The 10138-nt window shown below is 37.5% G+C and overlaps 1 protein-coding gene across 1 annotated transcript; it reads left to right on the plus strand.

The window, feature by feature from the left end:
* The first annotated feature begins 3681 nt into the window (after positions 1-3681).
* On the plus strand, positions 3682-3954 carry KRTAP20-3 (keratin associated protein 20-3). Its single transcript, NM_001128077.1, has one exon. The coding sequence runs from the start codon at positions 3707-3709 to the stop codon at positions 3839-3841; it is 135 nt and encodes a 44-aa protein (NP_001121549.1). The 5' UTR covers positions 3682-3706; the 3' UTR covers positions 3842-3954.
* The last annotated feature ends 6184 nt before the right edge of the window (positions 3955-10138 follow it).

The following is a 10138-nucleotide window of genomic DNA, read 5'->3' on the forward strand; positions in this document are numbered from 1 at the left end:
TCATTTAACATTAGGTATATCTCCTAATGCTATCCCTCCCCCCTCCCCCCACCCCACCACAGGCCCCGGTGTGTGATGTTCCCCTTCCTGTGTCCATGTGTTCTCATTGTTCAATTCCCACCTATGAGTGAGAATATGTGGTGTTTGGTTTTTTGTCCTTACGATAGTTTGCTGAGAATGATGGTTTCCAGCTTCATCCATGTCCCTACAAAGGACATGAACTCATCCTTTTTTATGGCTGCATAGTATGTCATGGTATATATGTGCCACATTTTCTTAATCCAGTCTATCATTGTTGGACATTTGGGTTGGTTTCAAGTCTTTGCTATTGTGTATAGTGCCACAGTAAACATATGTGTGCATGTGTCTTTCTAGCAGCATGATTTATAATACTTTGGGTATATACCCAGTACTGGGATGGCTGGGTCAAATGGTATTTCTAGTTCTAGATCCCTGAGGAATCGCCACAGTGACTTCCACAATGGTTGAACTAGTTTACAGTCCCACCAACAGTGTAAAAGTGTTCCTGTTTCTCCACATCCTCTCCAGCACCTGTTGTTTCCTGACTTTTTAATGATCGCCATTCCAATTGATGTGAGATGGTATCTCATTGTGGTTTTGATTTGCATTTCTCTGATGGCCAGTGATGATGAGCATTTTTTCATGTGTCTGTTGGCTGCATAAATGTCTTCTTTTGAGAAGTGTCTGTTCATATCCTTTGCCCACTTGTTGATGGGGTTGTTGGTTTTTTCTTGTAAATTTGTTTGAGCTCTTTGTAGATTCTGGATATTAGCCCTTTGTCAGATGAGTAGATTGCAAAAATTTTCTCCCATTCTATAAGTTGCCTGTTCACTCTGATGGTAGTTTCTTTTGCTGTGCAGAAGCTCTTTAGTTTAATTAGATCCTATTTGTCAATTTTGGCTTTTGTTGCCATTGCTTTTGGTGTTTTAGACATGAAGTCCTTGCCCATGCCTACGTCCTGAATGGTATTGCCTAGGTTTTCTTCTAGGGTTTTTATGGTTTTAGGTCTAACATTTAAGTCTTTAATCCATCTTGAATTAATTTTTGTATAAGGTGTAAGGAAGGGATCCAGTTTCAGCTTTCTACATATGGCTAGCCAGTTTTCCTAGCACCATTTATTAAATGGGGAATCCTTTCCCCATTTCTTGTTTTTGTCAGGTTTGTCAAAGATCAGATAGTTATAGATATGCGGCATCATTTCTGAGGGCTCTGTTCTGTTCCATTGGTCTGTATCTCTGTTTGGGTACCAGTACCATGCTGTTTTGGTTACTGTAGCCTTGTAGTATAGTTTGAAGTCAGGTAGCATGATGCCTCCAGCTTTGTTCTTTTGGCTTAGGATTGACTTGGCAATGTGGGCTCTTTTTTGGTTCCATATGAACTTTAAAGTAGCTTTTTCCAATTCTGTGAAGAAAGTCATTGGTAGCTTGATGGGGATGGCATTGAATCTATAAATTACCTTGGGCAGTATGGCCATTTTCACAATATTGATTCTTCCTACCCATGAGCATGGAATGTCCTTCCATTTGTTTGTATCCTCTTTTTTCACTGAGCAGTGGTTTGTAGTTCTCCTTGAAGACGTCCTTCACATCCCTTGTCAGTTGGATTCCTAGGTATTTTATTCTCTTTGAAGCAATTGTGAATGGGAGTTCACTCATGATTTGGCTCTCTGTCTTTTATTGGTGTATAAGAATGCTTGTGATTTTTGCACATTGATTTTGTATCCTGAGATTTTGCTGAAGTTGCCTATCAGCTTAAAGTATCTCAAAATAATAAGAGCTAGCTATGACAAACCCACAGCCAATATCATACTGAATGGGCAAAAACTGGAAGCATTCCCTTTGAAAACTGGCACAAGAGAGGGATGCCCTCTCTCACCACTCCTATTTAACATAGTGTTGGAAGTTCTGGCCAAGGCAATCAGGCAGGAAAAGGAAATAAAGGGTATTCAGTTAGGAAAAGAGGAAGTCAAATGTTCCCTGTTTGCAGATGACGTGATTGTATATCTAGAAAACCCCATCATCTCAGCCCAAATTTTCTAGCCCTCTTATTCAGAAAGTTGAGCATACACACCAGCTCTCTGTCATCAAGTGAAGGTGGGGAACATAAGGTTGGGCTTAAGGGAGTTGTGAAAGCACAAACAACTTACAGAAGCAATTGGCTTGGATTCTCATGGTTTCCTCTCTGCTGAGTTGTCTCTTCTTTCTCAACATACACCTATGAATTTATGCTGATTTTCCAGTTGGAGAAGGAAAAATTAGTCCTGGATTATAGATGGTTCTGCCAATATGGTAGCACTGCCTAAAAGTGGATGACTGAAGTACAACAGATCAAATCGGGGATTACCCTAAAGGTCAGTGGTGAAGGAAAATTTTCAATTATTTTTAATCATCTTAAGAAATGATAGTATCTAGATTCAGCCTGCCTTTGAGAACTTAAGTCTACATATAAGTACATGATACAGACAGAGTCAATATCCCTACAGAAAAATTAATAGTCATGCCTTCTGTTATATTTGGGTCTCAAAAATGTCTACTTTACGTTCCTGTGACTTTGGAATCAGATAAGATTCTCAATGCTTTTCTTTTCTCCGAAGAAACATATCTACATTGCAGTGCAGGTACAAGATAATCAACCAAACAACTTTTTAAAGAATGCTTAAGGTGTGGAGAAGAAGGAACTAAACAGGCAAGAAAAGGGCACTACTTTTAAGAGAGCATAGCAATAGGAAAACTACAGAATAATATGTGATTGGTGGGAGTTTGTACAGAATAAATCACAGTTGATCCTTGAACAATGCAGGGATTAGGAGTGCCAACCTCCACGCAGTTGAAAATCTGAGTATAACTTTTGACTCCCCAAAAACTTAACTACTAATAGCCTACTGTTGACCAGAAGCCTTACCAATAACATAAACAGTTGATTAATACATGCTTATGTTACCTGTAATGAGAGATTATACTCCTATAATAAAGTAGGCTAAAGAAAAGAAAATTTTATTAAGAAAATAAAGAAAAAGAGAAAATGGATTTACTATTCACTAAGTGGAAGTGGATCATCATAAAGGTCTTCAGCCTTATTGTCTTCATGTTGAGTAGGTTGAGGAGGAGAAGGAGGAGGAGGGGTTGGTCTTGCTGCCGGAGTGGCAGAGGTGAAGAAAATCTGCTTAATATAAGCGTATCTGTGCAGTTCAAACTCATGGTATTCAAGAGTCCACTGTATTTGCTACTAAGTTTTATAGCGATAACATCACAGCTGTGTTGATTAAGATTTAAATATGCATATAAGAAGAAGGGTATTATTAGCAAAGTGATCGGAAGAGGATGGCATTTGCCTCCTCCACGTGATGTCATCCAACATAGCTACAAAGGTTAAATTCGGCATCAGTGTGAGTAAGGTCATGGAACTCAGTATTTTTTTTTCCTTTAAAGTCTATCAGCTGTTTGGCAGGATCATAACATACTGAGAAGAAAATCTCAATTTTATCAGGATAGGGAGTCTTTTTTTAAAATCTAAAGATACAAGATTAATGAGATTTTTAAATACAGGTTGGTCTATATGACAATGTCAGGAGTGCCTGTGGTTTGTCACACCTCCACTGAGACTGATAAAAGACCCAGTATTTTAGTGTTTTTATGCACTAAAACTTATGCTGGCCTCTCAGGCTAGAGACTTAAATCCTGACACAATGAGCTACTATGGCAACTACTACGGAGGACTGGGCTATGGCTATGACTGTAAATATAGTTATACCTCTGGCTTTGGTGCCTTTAGAATCCTGGACTGTGGCTACAGATGTGGCTGTGGTGGGGTATGGATTTGACTGCTGCCACCAATATGATTATGCTACATGCTTATTATCAGGCACTGACTGAATAATATCTACAATTGGGTCCATTTTCTTATGAGACAGGGGTGCTGTTCTACTACACTTTTTTTAATTTGTTTAACCCAATTAGAATTCTTAATGATTCCCTATAATCCCAGCACTTTAGGAGGCCGAGGCGGGTGGATCACCTGGGGTTAGGAGTTCGAGACCAGCCTGGCCAACATGGCAAAATCCCATCTCTACTAAAAGTTAAAAAAATAGCCAGGTGTGGTGGTGGGTGCCTGTAGCCCCAGCTACTGGGGAGGCTGAGGCAGGAGGATCACTTGAACCCAAAGGCAGAGGTTGCAGTCAGCCGAGATGGCACCACTGCACTCCAGCCTGAGCAACAAAATGAGATTCCATCTCAAAAAAACAAAAATAATGCTTAGTTATTCAATCTAATTCTAGGCAAAGAACACACATCATTAAATTCACACTAAATCCACATCAGTGCCCCAGATTAACTACATTTTTCTCTTCCAAACTGATGTGTTTTCATAATTTACCAAGCAAATTACTTTTTGATATGTTTCAGGAGTAGGGAGCTCTAGGTTTATTTTTAATTAAACTTACTTTGGCCAGGCCAATGTCATTCATTTTTTAAATTTATTAATTACTCACTTGTTTAATAAGTCCTCATTAAGTAATTTCTATATAGGGCTTCCTGTTAAGTCTTAGTGTTACTTATGGGAGAAGAGTTTTTAAGCAGAAAAACAAATGTTTAAATAAACATGTATGCTACAACATGATAGGTGATGTAATAGCCACGTAGGAACACAGAGGAGAAGCTCATGTTTGGATGCAAAAGAGCGAGATTGTAGAGCAAACAGATCAAAAATATTCTCATTGAAGGTTACATTTGAATAAATTTTTAACCAACGAAAAATACATTGGAGGTAAAGTGTATGCCAGGCAGGGGAAACAAATATGCAAAGCCATGAAAAAAGTATTGCACTGCAAAGTCATAAATTGATGTTATTTCTTGAGAGAACAGTGGGCAAAGTCACTGGCAGGAAATGAAGCCCTGGGCAGTGAAGAGAAACTAGAACATCAAGGCCATATATATTTTGCAATGGGTGTACTGGATAATGTTTTATAAAGTTGTAATATTTTCCTTTACCTGGATGAGATTGGAAACTATTATTCTAAGTGAAGTAACTCAGGAATGGAAAACCAAACATCGTATGTTCTCACTGATATGTGGGAGCTAAACTATGAGGATGCAAAAGTATAAGAATGATACAATGGACTTTGGGAATGTGGGGGGAAGGGTGAGAAGGAGGTGAGGGATAAAAGACTACAAATATGGTGCAGTGTATACTGCTTGGGTGACAGGTGCACCAAAATCTCACAAATCACCACTAAAGAACCTACTCATGTAATCAAATACCAACTGTACCCCAATAACTCATGGAAAAATAAAATAAAAATAAGAAGCGCATGTTTTATACAAATAATTATGGCATCCAATTGAAGGAAAGGTGGCCAAGGAGTATGACCACAGACCAAACGACCATTCTGGAGGCTGTGTAAGCAGCCAATGCAAGGTCTTAATGTAAAAGCGGCAACTAAGATTCCTATGAAGGCCTAGATCAAATAGATTATTATGGGATAGAAGTTAAAGAACATGCCCATGTGGTATGAGAATGGAGGGGGCTAAGGAATAAAACAGAGCACAAAATAAACAAGGACTTGAACAGTCAACGACTGACTGTGGAACTAATGGCACATGTGATACGGGAATCGGAACATTTGGGGGACAATCAAAGTGGAGCCGCAAAAGTTTACTTGAGTACACGTAAATGTCATCTGTGGGAGGGCCAAATAAAGATTTTTCCTGGCAGGTTGTTACAAAAATCTACAACTCAGGAGAAAACTGAGTTTTAAATATAGAAAATAATTGGATAAAGTTCGTCGTAACTTCAGAAATACAGTGTATTAGTCCGTTCTCACTCTGATCTGAAGAAATATCCAAGACTGGGTAATTTATAAAGGAAACAGGTTTAATTAACTGACAGTTCTACATACCTGGGGAGGCCTCAGGAAACTTACAATCATGGCAGAAGCGGAAGAAGTCACGTCCTTCTTCACAAGGCAGCAAGAAGGAGAAGAATGAGCACAAGGGGGAAAATCCCCTTATAAAACCATCAGAAGTCGTGAGAAAGTACTCGCTCTCAGGAGAACAGCAGCATGAGGGTAACCACCCCATGATTCAATTACCTCTCTCTGGGTCCCTCCCATGCCACCTGAGGATTATGGGAACTGCAATTCAAGATGAGATTTGGGGAGGGGGAACAAGGCCAAACCATATCATAGAGTATTCCAATAATTATAGGTGAATTAAAAAAAAAGGTGTTTGCAAATCAGGGAAGGAGCAGATAAAAGTTAAAAAGGAAATGAAAAGGGAGTCATGGCAGGAAAATCAAGGGCCCACCAACTTTCTGGGAAGAGAAACTTCTTAATCTTCCTCTCTTCAAACATGGATTTTTTCAGAAAGGATTTCTAGAGTAATAACGTAAATTCTGACGCTGAGCTAGATGCTGACAATTACACGGTCAGTAGTATTGGCATGTTCCCTGCCTTCACAAAGGTTAACATCAAGAGGGGTTGACAAAATATCATAAATGCAATCACAGTAAAGCAACAGAGGCCTTAGTGCTTAGGTATGGGAGAGTCTCTCCAGTCCTCCATGTGTTGGTATGGACCCTAAACTCCATCCACATGATTGCCATGGGAGCAGCAATTTTGAGTATGATCTTCATGCCCTGACAGGAGTTGATGGGTCCAGATATGGCCATTTGAACAAAATGAAGCAGAAAATTCCCAGAATTTGCAAACAAAAGCCAATATGTTTTCTACCTGATGAAGCTTTAAGGTCTAACCCTTGTGATCTATTAGAATAGTAGCTATGTGCTTCTCCTTGTAGAATGCCCATTTGAAGTTTATTATAAGGTACCTGCTTATGTTTTCTGCTGAAGAATTCTATGTATGTGCTACTCAGAGTTGGATCACAGAAAATCTTTTTTAACTTTTGTACACTGGCCATGTCAGAGATATTCCATCAAGTCTAAGATGTAAGATGTTCAGCATCCTAAAATAAACAGATGAGTGAGCTTGAAAACCATCACTGCTCTCCAGACCTACACAATGATCACAAATGCTGTGCTCTGTTCATTCATTATACACTTGTTTACTGCAGAGTTACCAACTCTCAAGCTGGTTTGCTTTGTATGGGAGTGGATAGAACATCGTTATAATTGAGTTATTATGCAGTATCCAGAAACCATACTTAGTAAATTGTGGCAGGAAGCTTAAAATTTTCTGATAGTTTAGAAATATAGCACCATGAGATATCAGAGGGGTCATTTTCTCTAAAGTTGTGATAGTGATAACAGGTTAAGAAAAGACTGTGAAGAAATTCTCTAATACATGACAGTCTGGAGCAAAATTTCTGGTTTGGTAGCAAAAGGCAATTGCAAAAATTACACCTTAACAAGGTTGAAAGGAAAAATATTGACGGGGAAAACCCAGAACGCTGAGTTCTTCCAGTCTCTTTTAAGAGCCTTAAAACCCTTAACACCTGTGGGATTGAATCATGTTTGGCTCCTAAACAGAGAGATTTTACTCCAATTCCCTGTACGGACCAAAGTGGTCAGTAGATCTATAGCTCTAAAAGGAACAACAGCTCAAAACTTAAAACATTAAATAAAACATTTACTTATATCTATATGTCTGTATCTGTTTATGAAATATATACATTTATATATATATATCGAGAGAGAAATATGGTAGATAATTAAGTATCCAGTCATCTGGATGGGATGGGGTAGGAAGATGATGTGTAGTGTTGGATTGGTAGGTGGAGATGAGAGAGGGTAAATTGGTAAGCAAAAGGTAAGCAATTTAAGAAGACAGAAACTTAACTGAAAAAAATTCCAGAACAATGAATATATCGTGTATATGTTTACATTTATTATGTCATATATAGTACACATAGAGACTGCATCTAATTACTTACAGCATATCCAAAATACATACCAAGATAAAAAGGGCAAGGGCCTCATATGTGTAATGCAATTCTTTTTTGTCTGAAACAACAAACTCCAAACCCCCATATGTGTGTATGCATGGGTGGAGATAAAATTGCATATGTATGTATGAGGAAGTAGAAAGTAATGGAAGGTCATTTGAAGGGAATGCCTGTGGGCAGCAGCATGAGACATAACTAACACCATCTTTATGCATATTTGTATTGCTTTACTTATTATTACAGATGTGCATTATTTTCTGAATAAAGAAAACATCAAATGAATGAAAAATTTGAAAATAAAGGGATGCTTTAAATTTGAAAACTAAAGGGATGCTTTAGATAATGGAAAACTTAATCATGAACCTATGGAATTGGGGAAAGCTCTAGGGAACATAACTTTATTAACTTTTGCTTGATCTACAATGTATTTGTCAATTTTTACTGTAAAAATTGTTAGTATTTGCTTAGAAACAGTTGACACTTTTTAATATTTATTTACATTTGGTGTACCTTTTTGACATATCCTGAAGAGAAGGGCTACTTGCTCATAGCACTCCAAACAACAGCAGATGATAGTCATAAAATCCAAACAAATGAGGTAATGTAAAATGTAATGACAATGTAAGCATAAGTTTTCCACAAGCATACCAGATCTTATTCTCAAGAGAGATTTCCTGCCTTTGTTAGCACCTACTTCCACCATGCCACATTGGTATATAATTAGGACCAAGATTATTTCAGGAAACATAACACAATAATTTGCATTTATATACAGCTACCCAGAAACAAAGTGTAATGCTGTTTAAAACCCTCAAGAGTTGAGCAATGTTATTAGTCAGGCAGAATGGCAGTTTTATTTACTTGCTAAGCCAATTCCATATTATGAAGAACTAATGACTAGAGTTGATACATACTTTATTAGTTTGTTTCTGAAAACTCTGCTAGAGCCAAAAGAAGAAATATAGGAAGAGCTCTGAGCATCAAATAGGAGAAATAAACCTCCAGAGATCATCAGCTGACTTAATTCAGTGAAGACTCCCTTAACAGTTGCAGAAAACTGCACATGCATTTAATTGCATGCTAGGTGCTTTGTTGCGGAGATCTTTACAGATTATCCTTGGTAGAACGTCTTTACTATAGAAAATTGTTAGGGAGAACTACTTAAATAGGTTTCTGGTTGCCATAATAATCAGTAGTCGGTTTACTCCTTTTAAAAAATAGTCCTGATATACGACAGCACAATAGTTTTCACAGTATAAACAAATCAAGCAAGCATCATTCATTTGTTCAGACAAATATTTATTGAGTGTGGTCTCTGTGCATAGTCTCAGTACCTACATGGTTTAAGCATAATGGTCTTAGTATCTACAATTATTCTTGTTATTGTGAGTTATGTTTGCTCTCGCCAGGTTTGGTTCCTCTATAAAATATAAGTAACATGAACAAAGAATATATCTATATTTAATTTTTTATTTTAAAAATAAAAATGATATGAATAGGCTTCTGTGGAATTAACCATGGTATCAAAAAAGAAGTTATATAGTGAAAACCTACAACATTCTTATTGCTATAGGAAAAACATATATTTGGGGACTGAATTCTAGCGACCTACAACCCATTTGGACAATTTTAGCACAAAATAGAAAATATACTTCAAAATGGCATATAGTATAACATAAAGATAAGTGTGAAATGCTGTAATATATTACAGAACATAACTATCACAGAAGTTCGGAGGAAGGAAAAAATCAATGAAAGCTAGAAAGGAGTATGATGCTTCATAGACGGGATGGGGAAACCTGAAGCATAATTAGAGAAATGAGAATGGTTTAGATTAAAAGAGGGCTGAAACAACCAATGTGTGCAGCGAAATACACTGCATCACCTCTGCATACTTGCCAAAGTATCAAGCTTGCCTTAAACCAAGACTTACAATCTAACCTACTATTTACAGAAAATAAAGGAGTTACAAGAGGAACAAGTTAAACATCATGAGTAAACAACTAAACAAATAAAGAATGTGCCTTATTCTAGAAGGCAACTGGTCTAATTTTTTCAGCAAGCCAATGGCATATAAAGGCAGAGCTGTTCTGAATTTGAAGAGACTTAAAATGTATAACAACTAAATGCAATGTGTGGAACTTATTTGAATCGTGAGTTTAAAAACAGAGGGGAACTTCCTCAAGTTGATAAAGAAAAAATAGCTACAAGAAACCTACAGC

The sequence above is a fragment of the Homo sapiens genome, chromosome 21 (assembly GCF_000001405.40).
Source record: "Homo sapiens chromosome 21, GRCh38.p14 Primary Assembly".
Taxonomy (NCBI): Eukaryota; Metazoa; Chordata; class Mammalia; order Primates; family Hominidae; genus Homo; species Homo sapiens.